The sequence below is a fragment of the Homo sapiens genome, chromosome 4, assembly GCF_000001405.40.
Source record: "Homo sapiens chromosome 4, GRCh38.p14 Primary Assembly".
Taxonomy (NCBI): domain Eukaryota; kingdom Metazoa; phylum Chordata; class Mammalia; order Primates; family Hominidae; genus Homo; species Homo sapiens.
The window spans coordinates 114,982,840-115,000,470 of NC_000004.12; the positions used below are offsets into that span (position 1 = coordinate 114,982,840).

Below are 17,631 nucleotides of genomic sequence, written 5' to 3' on the forward strand. Positions count from 1 at the left end.
TGGGTCAAATTCATGGCCCAGCTTCTCTGTGCAGCCTAGGGATATGGTGCCCTGCATCCCAGCCACTCCAGCTCCAGCCATGGCTAAAACGGGTCAAGGTACAGCTCACGTTGTGGCTTCAGAGGGTGCAAGCTCCAAGCCTTGGTGGCTTCCATGTGGTGTTGGGCCTGCAGGTGGGAAGGAGGTAAGAGTTGAGATTTGGGAACCTTCACCTGGATTTCAGAGGATGTATTGAAATTCCTGGATATTCAGGCAAAATCTGCTGCAGGAGCAGAGCCCTCATGGAGAATTTCTACCAGGGCAGTGCAGAGGGGAAATGTGGGGTTGGAACACCCTTTCCAAATCCCCACTGGGGCACTGCCTAGTGGAGCTGTGAGAAGAGGGAGACCATCCGCCAGACCACAGAATGGTAAATTCACTGACCAGCTTCCACTGTGTGCCTGGAAAGTGCAAACTCTCAATGCCAGCCTGTGAAAGCAGCCATGGGGGCTGTACCCTTCAAAACCACAGGGCAGAGTTGCCCAGGGCCTTGGGAGTCCACCCCTTGAATCAGCGTGTCCTGGATGTGAGACCTGAACTCAAAGAAGATTATTTTGGAGTTTTTAGATTTAATGACTGCCCTGCTGGGTTTCAGACTTGCACAGGGCCTGTAGCCCCTTTTTTTTGGCCAAATTCTTCTATTTGGAATGGGAGCATTTACCAAATGCCTTTACCTGCATTGTATCTTGGAAGTAACTAGCTTGTTTTTGATTTTACAGCCTCATAGGCAGAAGGAACTTACTTTGTCTCAGATGAGAATTTAGACTTAGACTTTTGGGTTAATGCTGGAATGAGTTAAGACTGAGGGAGACTGTTGGAAAGGCATGACTGTATTTTGAAATGTGAGAAGGATATGAGATTTGGGAGGGGCCAGGGGCAGAATGATATGGTTGGGCTCTGTGTCCCCACCCAAATCTCATGTCAAATTGTAATCCCCACATGTGGAATGTGGGGCATGGTTGAAGGAGATTGGATCATGAGGGTGGTTTCTAATGGTTTCGCACTATCCCCCAAGTGCAGTCTTGTGACAGAGTTCTCACAAGATCTGGTTGTTTAAAAGTGTGTGGCACTTTCCCCTTGCACTCTTTATTTCTTCCTCCTCCTGCCAAGTAAGATGTGCCTTGCTTCCCCTTTGCTTTCCACCATGATTTTAAGTTTCATGAGGTCTTCCCAGCCATGTAGAACTGTGAGTGAATTAAACTTCTTTCTTTCTACATTATTGAGTCTTGGATATGTCTTTATAGCAGTGTGAACAAACTAATACTATTTATTTATTTATTTATTTATTTATTTATTTATTTATTTATTGAGATGGAGTCTCACTCTGGCTGATGGAGTCACCCAGGCTGGAGTACAGTGGCATGACCTCAGGTCACTGCAACCTCCACCTCCCAAGTTCAACTGATTCTCCTGCCTCAGCCTCCTGAGTAGATGGGACTACAGGCACCCACCACCATGCCAGGATAATTTTTGTATTTTTAGTAGAGATGGGCTTTCACCATATTGGCCAGGCTGATCTCGAACTCCTGACCTTGTGATCCACCCATCCCAAAGTGCTGGGATTACAGGCATGAGCAACGGCGCCAGGCCTAATACAGTCTTATATTTTCAAAATTTCAAAACAGCTACCTCAGAGTGATAGTGTTTGTTTTATATGGTCTTTTATCATACTTAATAGCTCAATAAAAAGGTGTCTTATTTATCCTAAGTAGATTATGATATGGGAATCAGAAGAGATAACTTATATTTATATTTTCCAGGTAAAAAATATTGCTTTATGGAAAGATTAAATAGTCCACCCAGATAACACAAGAAGAAGACCAAAATTGACCATGCCTGCCTTAAAACTCAGTCTAACCTTAGTAACCTTATATTCCAATATAGCAAGTTTGTGTGCCTACCTCAGTAAAATGGAGTTGGGATTCCATAAACTTTTGCTTCGATACTATTTGTAAATTTACAATTGAAGATGAATAGGGCTGACCCAGGATGAAAATATGAAGCTTTTAAAATTTGCATTTTATAGCTCTACCTTTCTTCTTACTCATCTTGATCTCATTTCTTTCTGATAAACTGTTACTGCTACTCAAGGAGGAATTTGCTATAATGTATACATTAACAAAAAACTTATACCAAGTTTTCTACGTAATATCATGTTAAATGGTTTAGCTCAGATTGTGAAATGGATAAGTTAATTAATTAAAAATGAGTGAATGCTTCTGATGACAATACTGAACAAGTACAAGGGTATTTATGGGGAGAAAGTTTGAACTGTAGGGATCCTACTTCTGAAATCACACTCAATCTGAAAAAAAACCTAGTGAGCCAAAGAACACCTTGACATTTCAGAGCAATTTTTCCTTTCCTCTTTTCACCCACCAGTTAAGTATTTCGTTGCCATTTTTCTTTTTTGGTCTGTCTCCAGGAAGACAGGAATCTAAAAGCTCACTCTCTTTGGGCACTCTTCCCTCCTTTTGCCACTCTTCATTCATTCATTCAAACAATATTAATTGGACTGTATGTTTTAGGTACTCAGGATAGAGTGGAGAATGGCAAAAATAATATCTAATATTATCAAGCTTTTACTATGTGTTAGGTGATGAGCAACACTCTAATTATTTATTTAAATCTTCCAGTGACCTTTTTATTAATCCTGTCTTACAAGTGGAGAAAATAATGCACGGAGAGGCTACATAAATTATGCTAGGTATGGAGTTAGAAAGTACCTGATAAACAAAACTGGTAAGTTTTCTGGTTTTTGATGGAACCTACATTCTTTTTAGACACACAGAGGATACACATAACAAATCAATCAAATAATTTTTTAATTACAAATTGTTACTAGTGTTGCAAAGTTAATTTTAGTACCATGCTATTATTGAAAGAAACACAAAGTATCAGTATCTACGTTTCAACAAGGTAGACAATGAGATCAATAAAGTCCACCCTGGAAAAGTGGCAGGCCATTTTGTTGAGGCATGGAAAATAACAGACCAGTTATGCCTAAAATGGGACCTGGGGAGTCTGCTCCAAACAATGGGGCCAGTGAGAACAGATCTTAGGGTCAGGAAAGAACTTAGCGTCGTTAATTTCAAAACTTTGTTACACAGGATTGGAGGGTAAGTTTCAGGAACTAACTGCACACAAAATGTATATATACCGGTAAGGATAATGGTTTCATTGCATTAGGAGTATTTTTTGAATACTGGAAGTTTAAACGTTGATACTGATTAAACATACTGGCAAAGAGAAGAAAAAAATTAAAAATTGGTTTGACCTTATAAAATAATATTAAATCATGTCACATATGTGAAGAGTTTGCATTTTCTGCCTGATTATCAAAGAACACAATGAAGGTTATATAAATCATTAAACTGCAGTGTGTTCATTGTGTTGTAAATTTTATTTCATTGCATCAGCCAAACACTCCACGTGTCTTTGACTCCTTTCCTAGTAGATGTGAGTGGATGTGTCTCGTGCCCTAAACGTTGTTACTGGAGGGTGTCCTGGTCATCTCCTTTCCACAGAACTATAAGCCACTGATTTTAGTCCACTCTGAAAGTGTGTAAGACGAGCTTCTGCTTCTGTTTTCTGATTGGCATTCTGGTTCTCTCCCTGAGATCAGAAAATTTCCTTAAGAATGCTGAAATACTGTTCAGTTCTTATAAGTCCTAATCTCTCTTTCAATTGTATCTTATTTCAGTTCATAAAGATCATCTCAAACTATGTCTGCGTCCTGCACTCTCTTCCTCTGGTTTCTGTTTCCCATGCTCTACTGAATTGATTGAAATTTTGAATCAAGTTAGTATATTTGAATAAAATGTGATCTCATTATGACCCTTCAAATGGTATCAGTTAGGGCACTGGCATTTTTGTTTATAATTTAGTTCCTCTAAGCCTGGTATCCAATTATACATATATATATATATATATATATATATATATATATATATATTTTAATATACTATTCCTATAAGCTCTTGCTCTCAAGTCTCCATTATAACTTATAAAATTTTTTTGTCTTGTAAAAAGATAAATATATATTTTAACTTCAGAGGTCATTGTTTGTGTGGCATAATTATTTCCTTAAAAGCTTCTTATAAGATAATCACAAAAATAACTCATATTTCCTAAAGGCAAAGTATTTAAATATGTCATAGAGTAATAGTGACGTAGAACTCAAGCTAGTTAGGATTTCTTTGAAAATAGCGGAATGAATCTTTTAGTCATTTTAACCTCAATGACTTAAAAATGGCTTTAGGAATAATATGAAATCAAATAGCCAAGAATAACATACATATACATATACGACATAAACAAAATAATCAAGTCAAAATCTTTTTTGGGTCAGAGTGGGAGACAAGGAGTTTATAACACAAAATATCCCCAAGAATTCTCAGAAAGGATCTGAGAACTGGGTCCAAGTTCTCTTTGCATTTGTTGCAACTTTAAAATGTAACTTGAATCCCTCTGCAAAATCCTGGCTTTTGTGTTGGAAGGCCAGCTTGATGGAGATACTTTGCATTGCATGTGGAAGCTCCAGAGCAGGTACAGATTTGGTTACCACTGTCAGAAATGGCTTAAGATCTGCAGAATGTGGATGTTTGAGCTACCTTCTTCTTCAAGTGATTATAGAAAATTTCACTGTGTAGGAAGAGATAAGTAGTGAAACAGAAATCTTTACCACAGACAAGTGGTAAACCAAACTATGATCCATGGGTCACTATAAATTTGGGTCTATAAAATTAAATGTCTGTGAAAAAATAATTGTATCTTCAAAATGTTTAGGAAACACACTGTATCATACACCACTAGAGAAGGTCTCAACCCACATTAACATACTGAAGTCCTTTGATAGGAAAAATCTTGCACTTAATGTATCTTATCTTTTACCTCAAATAATCAGCCAGAAACACCCACCTCCACTTGCTTAAGTTTATGGTTTGCTTATTTAGGAAAAAACATTAAGTGAATGTCTGATCATGGGAAAGTGAGGTGTCTTTTGGGGTCATGATCTCCTCTATTGAATATAGTTTCCTACTTATTATGCAATGCAAATGAAAAATGTAATAGCTGTGATTTTACATGAAATGTGATTCTGAATATGCATGCAGTCAAATAATCACATTAACTCTCTGCAAGTGATCTGTACAAAGGAGTGTTTTTCCATTATTCCAGGATTTGCTATTGTTAAGGAGCTTCAAATAAAGATAAATTCCTTCATATTATGGAATTCTGAAAATATATTTAGAATTAACAATTATAATTTTGATAAATATTATAGTATATTTCTTAAAGCATCTTATTCTTGCTGAGAAATCATGAAAAACAACTATTAAGTTAATGAAAACAACTTTTAAGTTGTTAATGAAATGTGGATTAATTCAAATTTTCATGATCAATTTTATAAACTTTTTGAAAATTTTCATATGATACGTGGTTGAGTATTTTGTAAGCACACAGATACACATATCTTTTTTTTTTTTTTTTTTTTTTTTTTTGAGACAGAGTCTCGATCTGTAGCCCAGGCTGGAGTGCAGTGGCGCAATCTTGGCTCACTTCAAGCTCCACCTCCCGGGTTCATGCCATCCTCCTGCCTCAGCCTCCCAAGTAGCTGGGACTACAGGCGCCCGCCACCACGCCTGGCTAATTTTTTGTATTTTTAGTAGAGATGGGGTTTCACTGTGTTAGCCAGGATGGTCTCAATCTCCTGACCTTGTGATCCACCCACCTTGGCCTCCCAAAGTGCTGGGATTACAGGTGTGAGCCACCATGCCCGGCCTACATACGTCTTTAAATGTGTACCCCCAAAACCACTTTCAAAGGCTGAATATCAAATTATGAGTCAGTTTATATACATTTGAGGCATTAAGGCTTATTTATTTTTTAAGCTCAAATGTAGTAGAATTTTCTCAGTGCACCGCCAGTAGGATAAATATAACTAATTTTAGATTTTGTTATAAATATGAAAACCATTATTATTCATATAGGACCATAATTGGTTATAGAAACTAGAAGAAAAACATATATACTAAAATCCATAGTATAGCAAAATATTTTAAGATGGATTTTTCTTTACTTGGCAGATAAATCTTTTTCTTGTGGAAAGTCTCTCCCTCTGACAAAAACTTAAGAGTTTCAAAAACAAAAACTCCTGTGATATCTTGTTGTCACCTCCTTGACTCAGCCCTATTTAAAGTCTAATTATGATGCACATTTATAACAAAGTAGGTGACATAATCTAATAAACACCTGCTAGTCTACCAAGTGATTTTCTGTAGATGAAGGGAAGCTAGTGAGACACTCATGAAAGAGAACAGCAATACCAAAAATGCATGAATGGTAACATTTTCCAGTACAGCTCTCATTTCCCAACAAGAGACAGAAACAGTATAATTATTTTCTGTATGAATGGTATCCTTTGGAGTTCTGTGACTGACATTATCTACCTTTGACATTATTTCTTTAATAAAGACATTTTGGTGTAATTTAACTTTAAGTGAACTATGTTGCCATGCTTACCTATTCAAGAAATATTTAAGCAGCTAATATAGTCCAGCTGTTGTAGGGACTGGAGATTCAGTTTTGAATGAAACAAACAGTCCTTTGGTTAGGAGTTTGTATTTCAGTGACACAAACAATAAACAAAGAAATTACTAATACATTGCAGTTGAACCTGTGGGAAGCCATTGGAGAGTTTTGAGCAGATACATAATATTCATGATTTATACCTTAAATATTTGGCCACTGTATGAAGAATTGCCTGGGTCAGAGCTGGAGAAGAATGAAATAGGAAAACATGTAGAGGAGAAAAACAGGTTAGCCAATTGAGAAATGAGGGTCCTGGAGTTTGTAGTAAAGCAGGAAGAAAGTGGTCAGATTTGGGACGTAGTTTGAAGATAAAGTTTCTAGAACTCTTAATATCAAATGATACATTAAATGCAGGTTGTGAAAGAATTGAATGTAGCATATGATGACTTCTGATTTGTTCCCAGGCTTTATGTATCAGATGAACACTGTTTGCAAAGTACCAGCTACCTTTATTCTTCAGTAGAGAAGTGTCTCTTCAAAATCCCTGTCTAGCCTTTAGTGAGTTGACTTCATCGGCATAAATCAGGTGTTCTTAATCTATGACATTTTTGACACTTCCATTTTTTTTTATGTCTGCGTTTTCATGAGAGCTCAAGAAGTGGGGAATAGAAGCAATTTTGTTCCAATATTTTGAAGAAAAGATGATAGAATGAGTAATCAAGCAAAATAACTATCCTAATTCTTTTAAAATTTAAGAAGCATAGTAGATACAGGTTCATTGTGGAGGAAATATCAAATTGAAACAAATTTCTAATTTTACATAAGGAATCTAAAACAATGAAGAATAAAAAACACATTATTACTAGCACTTTTATTCCATTCACTGAATTATTAAAATAAAACTCCTAATTATTATTTTACTAACTATAGCTCATTTAATATTATAAAAATTCACAAAGTATTCAAATTTATGGATACAACATTCTTTGTATTGTATAAATGAAGTATAGTAGCTCTTTTAAATAAGCTCTTAAGGAATCCCTTGACCAAAAGATATTTTATAAACTACAAGGATGTTTTATTAACTGATTCTTTAGTTTGACATTGCAAATATCTCTTATCTTGGGCCAGCAGTGAGATAAAGTCACTTAAAAAAATCTTACATCCCACATTATTTTACATTAATCACTAGAATTACGTTTAGAAATTTTTGAGTGATCTTTATTCTTCCTAATTGTTGCATGTATCAAGCAAGACAGATATATTTCTACAATATCTTTGTTAATAACTAACACATCACACATTTACATAATACACTTTTTGGGACAATTTCTGTGGTAACATTTCATGGCTAATAGGAAGCAATTTGCTTTTCTTTATTAAGTGCATTAAAACTTTATGCCCCAGACATCATTGACAGTAAACATTTGATTCTGCTCAAATTTAACGCACCGAGGCATTTCGCTGTGCCATATTAGGTTTATTTATGTGCTGTGTTCTGCATTGTTAGCTGCTAATGAGACTTCAACTCTTATTGCTCTAAGGCCTGAACACTAACCTCATTTTAATGAGTTCATTATTTGCTGTCTTCTGAGAGGAAGACAACAAATTTTCCTTTTAATTAAAGGTCAAAACACCTCTGGCGAAGTAAAGAGAAGAGGTTATCAAACCCTGGGAGAAGATGAGAGATAGCTCTTTCGGATTTCTAAGCTAAGCAGAATGAGTATAGACTGGTGTAGGCCCTGGTTTCTCAAGACTATAGACAGTCGATCAATCTCTCGAGACCATGGTGCACTTATTTAAGACAAATGAGAATAATACAACATGATAGCTAATGTGCCTAAGACTTTGTAAAAAATGAAAGTCAGCCAAAGTAATTAAAGAGGCTTTACTCCTAACCAAAAGGGCCTTGTGGATCAATACCACTGCAGGAGCAAGACTCCTCTTTTGCATGACGAATGAGTTATGGGGTGAAGAGAACAAATGCCACATTAACTGAGCCAAGAAAAACTATTCTCAAATATTTTACCACTGAAAGTAAAGCAAAGGCAAATAAATATTTTGAAGAACTATTTTTTAATAACATAAAGGGTATGTGGACACAGCATGTGATATAGGAATACACATTGTATATTCAGAAAAACCTGGCTGCTAAAATGTGACATTCCTGGAAATATCAGTTGTTATTCACATTTGCAGGCAATGCATACCTCTAGCCACAAGAGAAAAGCGAAATCTCAATAATATCAAAACAGATAATATGAACAACTTGTTACTTATATAAAATTTAATACAAATGAAATTAACAGACTTAGGCACAAAATTAAATGGAGTATTTATACTTAACAAATAATGTGCTTATATTACAAACCAAAAATTTTCATGGTGCTCTGATGACATACACATTCTACATATGGATTATTTGAATCTTGTACTACACTGCTTTTTAATTAAAATTTAACCTAATTCTAATAAAATATTTTTATTTGTACATATGCCTTCAATAACTTTAATGTGTGAGATCTGGCATATACCTTTTTATGTTTCTAGTATTGTTTCTGGTTTAAAGTATATAATCAGTATATCTTTTTCTTCAATACATTGTTTATTACAGAAAAATCTCAAAAATAGTACGGTTCCCATATACCGAATACTTATTGCATTATATGTTAGTATGGTACAGTTGTCACAATTAACGAACCAATATTGGTACATTATTATTAGCTGAAGTACATACTTTATTTTTTTTCAGTTTTTCCCTAATTTCCTTTTTCTGTTCCAGGATCCCATCAGGATAACACATTACATTTATTTATAGTTTTTACATCTCCTTAAGCTACTCTTGCCTGCAACATTTAAAGGTATCTTAATTTTTTTAAGAGATGTTTTAGGTTTACAGAAAAACTAAGCAGAAATTACAGAGTTCTATGTCCCCTGTCTTCTCACTCCCGCCCCACCACCCAGATTCCTCTGTTGTTGACAGTTTCCATTATGTGATGCATTTATTACAATTTATGAATGAATGTTAACACATTACTCTTAATTAAAGTTCCGAATTTACATTAGGATTCACTGGGTTGTACAGGTGACCCTTCACAGAACATGTTTGAACTATATGGGTCTGCTTATAGGAAGGTTTTTTTTTTTTTTCAATAAATAAAGTTGACCTTTTGTTTCCATGGGTTTCACATCTGCCACAAAACTCAGATAGAAAATACAGTATTTACAGGATGCCAAACCTGTGGATACTATGCATAATCTCCATTGAGCATTTTACAATTTTCAAAAGGTCATTATATGGTATTTCATTTAACTTTTACAATAATTCTATGCACATTTATTTCACAGATAAGTTTTACAATTAATTTAGAAAGGGGTGTTGCTTAACCAGTCTCTAAATCTCTGATCTAAACTCTAAATCTCTGATCCCAAATCTGTTCTTTACATTTCCTATGAGAACTCTAGCTCCTGGGTATAGGTGGCATCAACTACTCACTGATGGTCAGCTGAATTGTAAATATTTTATCTGATATTTGTATATTTTACTTAAAAAATAACCACTTCAGTTCCAGAATTCAATGTTCCAAAAGAAAGAATTAAAATTCACAGAAATGAAATAGTATTTAAATAATTATATATCTTTCTAACTTAGTTTCATGGTGTACTATAGATAGTAAGTGCTTAGAATTTCAAATAAAGAGATGACACTCATATTGCAAAGGCTCCATATTTTATTTATAATTTTAGCTGAGGCATTACAAATATTTTTGCTTATTATTCTTTTTTAGATGCTAAGATCCTAGGATTTTTGGGAATATAGAAATGACATCTGGGTGTGCACTACTAAAGTGGATCTAATTTTGAAAGTTTAGGATTCATCTATTTGGACAATATCTGTATTAGTTGTGCATTTCTTCATGTATCTGTAAGAATTGGAGTAGGCAAAAAACTTACTTGAACGTTCCTTCACCTTGTAGCCTTAAAATTATTGTTTCTGTTTTAAGTAATACTAGTTATAGAGGTAGTGCTGGGTACCAAGTGGAGAAATCAGAAATAGAAAGTGGCTCACTCAGCATTAATTGCAGTTTGGTATCACACTTCCCAATTGGACATATATTCTGTTGCCTTTACACCTATTTTTGTTGGAGAATATATGTTTTCCTTAAATCTGCTTTTGACATAGAAATACATGTAAAATACTTAAAAATATCTTAGCCTCTGTTTTAAAAACCAAATGATGAAGGCAACTGCTCATCTAGGTGTTGTGTGAAATATGGAAACCTGTGCATTCATAAAGTCTATCTTCCGCTAATCAACTGTCTAAAAAAGTTCCATCCTTGTCCATAAATTTAGCTCCTTAAAGACATTGCTTTTCTAGTTTTCAGTTGTACCACTGCAACTCAGGATGCAAAATAAAATTGGGAATTTTGTTTTTATTCATGATTCATAAGTGATCACATACATTCCATATCTTCTCTAACAACAGTGTCTATTGACAAATCTTAAGGAAATTGCTAAAAGTATGATGCTTCCTCTATTCCATTTTTCAAAGCCATATTGAATCCAGACATTTGGCCCAGACATTGATGCCATATTGTTAAAACACATTTGTATAAATTCCAAAAAGAATATCTGACTTTCTGATAGAGTATTCTGCTTTGTAAAAATTCATATTCTTGTTTCTATTTAATGAAACTTGTATTGCTGGAGTACTTAGTAGCCACTTAGAACTGCTCCGTGATCTTAGCAAGAAAAAAATAATAAAGTAACTGTTCTTACATTTAAAATATGTAATTTTCTGCTGAACAAACAAAACAGAATAAAGTTGTCTAAAAAATTTTATGTTCCATATGACTTAACACCTTCTGGTATACCATATAATTTAGCATTATATATCTAAACTTTCTCCCAGCCACTTGAATGAGAGCAGAGAACCTTTCTTTCTTTGCAAGTATACATACACGCTTGGAATATTTGGCTTCACCTCAAATCTCCTTGCTTTTTTTCTGTCTTTCTTTGTACCATGATGCATCCCATGAGCCTAAAAGTACCTAGAACACAGAGTGATCAATAAGTGTGTATGGGATGAATGCTAGTAGCGTTTGAAACTGATGGAAATCAGTTACAAGGAGGTAGGTGCTCAACACTCATGTCCCCAGGGTAAAGAAATTTCCAGTGTTGCTGTAATTACTGTCAGTTGACTGAGATGAATAGGAAATCATGTTCAAATACAAAAATGTTTTCCTTAGTTACCGAACCATTGTATACAGCTGGGTTTTGGAGCCTTTGGGGTTAGATGATGATACAACAAGAATAAGACTGCAATATGAAGAATACTTTGAGCTTGGAAAAAATCTTATCCTCTTGGGTTTAAAAAACATTAATGGCTTTCATTTTTCCTGTTAATTAATCAACAAGCCATCACTAACTATTTATGATTAACTAACCAGAAAATGACAGGCTGAATGAAGGGAATCATAAAATCTCCACAAATTTCTTAAGCAGCAGAAGAAAAATTCTTGACTAAATTATCTGCTTTTTTTGGGATAGGTCACTTCAGGAAGTCTGAAATTTTATCTGATTTATCAATATTATAGATTATTGAACTTGGACCAGAAGTATAAATTTAGACACTAAAATGTGTGTTGAACTGGCTAATTCTCACAACTTTTCCTCTAGAATCCCCAAGAAGCATTTAAGTTATTATTCTTTCTCATTATTACTAATTTCACCTAAGCCGAGTAGAAAGCTATGCAGTTATAAACAGTCCATTTAATGATATAATGGGATGAAGCCAGAACTGTCTTACTACTGTTAAGGGAAATATGAATGTAGAATCATTAATGTGATTCTTACATTAATGTGAATGTAAGTGACACATTTGCAATGACAGGCTGATAATATTCTTATTTGAATTAAGAGATTAGCTAGATTCATAATCATGTATACTATTGATTCATTTTCAATTGCTACCTCTATTTTCTATTTTCACTTAGAAGTAACAAACAGCAAAAGTATTTTGACATCTCTTTTGTAGAGATAACTATTATCATTACAATGCTGACATCCTGGCATTGAAAGGTAATGTTAATTTGAATAAGCATCTGACTTAGACATACATGTACAGTCATTTTGTACTGCCTAATGTACTCCATTCAGACCATCAAATATGGTTACAGACTAAATGATGTTAAACAATCCTGATACTTCTGTGGGAATTTTATTTGAATTCTCCAAAATGATCTTCCCAATTATTCATTTTTATCAGAATGCTTCTGTTTTTATTTGTTTTTATTTCCTATATGGTGCATTTAATTGTTACAAATGTTTTTTAAAATCTCTCTGTAACTTACTATGCAAAAAACTTTTTTTTGATGTATTAAATGACAACTCAGTAAAGATTTAAAGTAGAAACTTGGGTTGTCCACTGACTGGCTGAGTGAGTTTCCTGAACCTTAGTTTTCTTATTCTTAAAATAGGGAGAAAAATACTTACCTTAAAGAATTAATGTGCAATATAAATGAAATGACTCATACAAGTCATATGCAATATGCATATAGTATTTATATTCATGAAGAAACAAAAAACTAGAATGATCATAATATTGCTGACATTTCCATAGGAAACTTATCTTAAGAGATCATAATCCAGGTTCTCTGATTTCCCAGTTTATATGGTTTGGCTCTGTATCCCCACTCAAATCTCACCTTGAATTGTAATCCCCATAATCTCCACATGTCAAGGGCAGGACCAGGTAGAGGTAATCAGATCATGGATGCAGTTTCCCCTATGCCGTTCTTGTGATAGTGAGTGAGTTCTCAGATCTGATGGTTTTATAAGCGTCTGGTGTTTCCCCTGCTTGCACTCATTCTCTTTCCCGCTGCCCCTGTGAAGAGGTGCCTTCCACCACGACTGTAAGTTTCCTGAGTCCCCCCAAATCATGCAGAACTGTGAGTCAATTAAATCCCTTTTCTTTATAAATTACTCAGACCTGAGTATTTCTTTATAGCAACGTAAGAAAGAACTAATACAGCAGTTTTCTGTCATGTTATATTGTTATGACTCATAACTAATTCCCAATTTTGTGTATGAAAAGACTTTTTCAAGATAAGAACACCTTTAAGTAATAGAAACATCCAAGAGGCCTTTTAAGGACTGATCTTAGCTCTCCTCTCTGTTTCCTAGGTTCTAGCTTCTGCATCAAGCCAAGTCCCCCTCCTTGTACCTGTCAGAGAATGGTCAGCCAAAAATCAAATAAGCACATCTCATTTTTATTACAACAAATTCCTTAGGTTATTTAAAGAAGACCGATACTAAAAATTAAAATTTCATTCGGTATGTGTTCCTCACTAGTTTAAATTGAGAACTCAAACTACTTGCCAATGTACTTCTTTTCATGCAGGCAAAATTAGAAAATGATTCTAGATAATTTCTTTTTCATGTGTTCATAGGTGGCCTCATAGAGCAAAACAAAAATTAAAAAGTCATGTTTAGAAGAAATATCTACTTACTTTTACTCAAATGAGTTCATAAATATCAATGGTGCTGCAGGGTATTGTATTAAATAGGTACTTCTGGTACCTATGAGGCAGCTACCTGACCTAGCAATGTTGTATTTTGTTGCTTAAATGTCTCTACCATGGACAAAGTCATTTAGATATTTTTCACTTCCTCCTATTTTCCGCTTATCCAGGATAATGATGTGACCTATTTGCCAATATGATTCATTTTCTAACTTCGGAGCTTTTGCTTATGTGGAGTATTTTTCACTTCCACCAAAGCCCTATTGCAAAACTAGTATTCCCACTAACTAGTCCTCTTATAAACCCAAAACTTCCACAATGTTTTTCCAGATTATTTAAGAGGAGAAAATTTATTGTTTCATATTATTTTCTTTCTACTTCTCCTAGCATGTTTATATCAAGGAGACAGAATGAGAAAAAAACAAAAAGAGTTATGTTACCCAAGTTGCTAAAGGAAAAATATATCTGTCAGATAGGTGATAATATTATCAAAAATTCATAAACCCAGCTCTAAGGAGTATGAAACTTATCACTGTTTTAATTGGTTGGTGATTAATTTTTTTTTCAGTATGGCAGAACATAGCCTACCACATTGATGTCTAAGTAATCAGAATATTGAAGCATAAATATTACACCCAAGAAAGCTATGTAAATTAATTCAGTCTTGTATTGTTTTTGTGAAACTTTTCCTAACTTCCTGCAAGATAGTAAAGGCTTAGAGGGAAGGAACTTTTATTTATCTTCATGTTTCTCACATAAATAAACATGCACAATGCCTTATCTATAGTACAGACACAGAAGGTAATGCATTGAAGTGAATACTCCATTAGCTTGCTCTATACACTCAGAGAGAACTATGACTCATTATAAAAGAATTATGTTAGCGATGTTCTTTTCTGCCCACTCCAACCATCAAAATCCTGATTATAATAGACAAATAATTCCCCCTGGTTCTAGGGGTTTTAAACTTGCATCTTTTTGAAGAGGATTAAAGGATTTGTTGGAAATGACAGGCTATGTTGAAAATTATATGTAGTCTATGATACACAGGCATATATAATATGTTGTGGTAGTCATCTCTAGGTATCCTCCACTGATGACAACTTCTAAGTAGTATGGCTAATGGAATCATTTTGCTTTATACTGGATTCCTATACTTAGAGGACCTAAGGATTAATCACTTCCACCAGTGGTTCTTATCCCTTGCCTGCTTTCCTGTCATGCCCTCTAGTTTCAGAATTCTTGCAGCTGTCCACAAAACTTGGTGTTTGCTTTGCTAAATGCAAAAACGGATGCTTCACACTGTAACTTTCTCTTTGTCTATCCCCAAAGTGAGCATCCTATATCTACAGCCTCTTCTGGAGATTAGCTTTTTTCTGCATGCTGTGTGCTATGATAGAGGTTTTCTAAAACCTGTTTTAGTGGAAAGAATCACTTCCAGCTTAGAATCCAAGTTGAAAATGAATTCCCCAAAGTGCAGAGATGAGGAGGTCATGGCTCACACTGTGCAACCCCATTAACTATTCCCTGGGGAACAGATACTCTGGAGTAGCACATACCTCATGCCTTTGATGAAGGCCTTAGGGAAACATTGTTTTTAAAAGAAAACAGATTCTGGGCAAGAATTAAAAGCAGTCTCATACCATAAGTGCTAGAATTCAGGCTTTTAAGCCTCATTGCTCTCAGATACATCATCAAAGTGACATTGCTGATACAGGAGCTTTTGTGGTCTGACTATAGTTTTGCAATTAGAGAGTTTCCTTTTTTAATATGCCCCTAAACTTTATCAATAGAGTATTTGGTGGTCTTGCTTCCATTTCCCTGGGAAACTGCTTCATGGTATGTTATATTTTTCCTTTTTGGCAAAGGACTCTTGCTGGTAAATAAATTCCCTGTAGACCTTGGGCTTGAATTTGGCTTGCCCTTTTCAGAGGAGTTACCTCATCCACCAAGCCTCATGATTAGGCGTGACTTGTGATTTCCCCCTATTGTGTGGCCTAAACTTTGGGTCGAGTTGAAAATGCATCTTGTTTATCTCATATCATAATCACACAAGATTGAGAAAGTAAACTTCATGAAGATGAGGTCAAGGTCTATTTTGTTTGCTGTTATATCACAAATACTGGGCACAGCTTCTGGAGTGAATTAGGTACATGATGCATATTTGTTAATGAATGGGTGGATTCATATATCTATTTTTTACTTATTTGCTTCACTGAGATATTTAATTAGTTGTGCGTTTTTGTGAATGCCTATAGGTTTGGCTTCCATAGGAATTAGCAGGTAATAGAACAGCTGTTATGAAGCACTGTGGATTTAATCATAAGCAGTCTTGCTTCTGAGTCCTTGTAGGAGCTCTAGATTTGTATCCTGGTCCGCTGTGTACTAGTGGTGTGACCATTTAGATTCTCCTTCACCTCTCAATTCCATTATTTGTAAAATGAAACTAATACTCATATCTACTTCCTACTTTATGAGAAATAATTGAGATGCTACATAGTAACTTCTTAGGATTGATTCTGCTTGCACAGAAAGTGCTCCATAAAAGCAAGTGATTAATATTATCATCATAAATTTAAAAGTTTATTATAATTCTTATTTGGATATTCATTCATTAAGAAAACTCTTACTGGACACCTGGCTTTTCCAAATAAAGAAGATTTGAAGCACAATAACTGTAAATAAATAATAGCATTATCAAAGGTCTTAGCTTATTCATGGAATGGTAAAACATTCAGAGTAGCATTCCTTCCTTTTATTTTCTTGCTGAGAATTTTGAACTTACTTCCTAGGCAACAGGTAATCACAGAGGTTTTCCAGAAAATGTATCCTAAAATATGGAAGTCAGGAGGAAAGGAATTATTGTCGTAAAGGCTGTTAGGAGGTATATAATACCTCAGAATCCTGATGAGGTATTTAGTAAACTTGTAATTGATATGTCTGGAAGGCCCTTGGGGAGGTGATCAGTGAAGGACCTATACTTATCAAAAAATCTTCTTTTTGCCAATCTTATGTGTCAATGTTATTATCTTTCAAGAATATCTTCCAAATCTGTAATTTAAGTATATACTTCTGATTCTTTTATCAAAAGTCACGAACAACTGTTATTCTATGTTGTAATCTAATGCCATAGCATTAGCTATGTGTTTTGAAATGTTATACAAACCTGTGTTTTGAAATGTTAACTTGCATAATTGTTTAAGAGGTATATTTTCTCAACTCAATTCACTTCCAAAATGTGATGGCAACTAGATCATCTGACATTAAGAGGAACTGATTTGACTATTATGCTGGTTCCAAAGAATGATGAAATGAGGGTAAAGTTAAATGACATAAATTACAATGTAAGAAAGTAAAGTATCTTCATTTATCATCTTACCTGATTTTTCAGGAATTTAACCTTTCATTTTTTTTTATTTTTTGCCTCATGAGAATATCTACATCTTAGAATTCTGCTAAGAAATCAAACATCTCATTGAATAAACTAATGATGATAAATCACAAAGCTATAACAAATTTTAAGATGTCTTCAGACCCT

The 17,631-nt window shown here is 34.6% G+C and overlaps 1 protein-coding gene across 3 annotated transcripts in view; it reads right to left on the reverse strand.

Annotated features, from left to right (window-relative positions):
- Window positions 1–17,631, reverse strand: part of NDST4 (N-deacetylase and N-sulfotransferase 4) — a 285,858-nt gene that overhangs the window by 155,077 nt on the left and 113,150 nt on the right. The window lies entirely within an intron of this gene.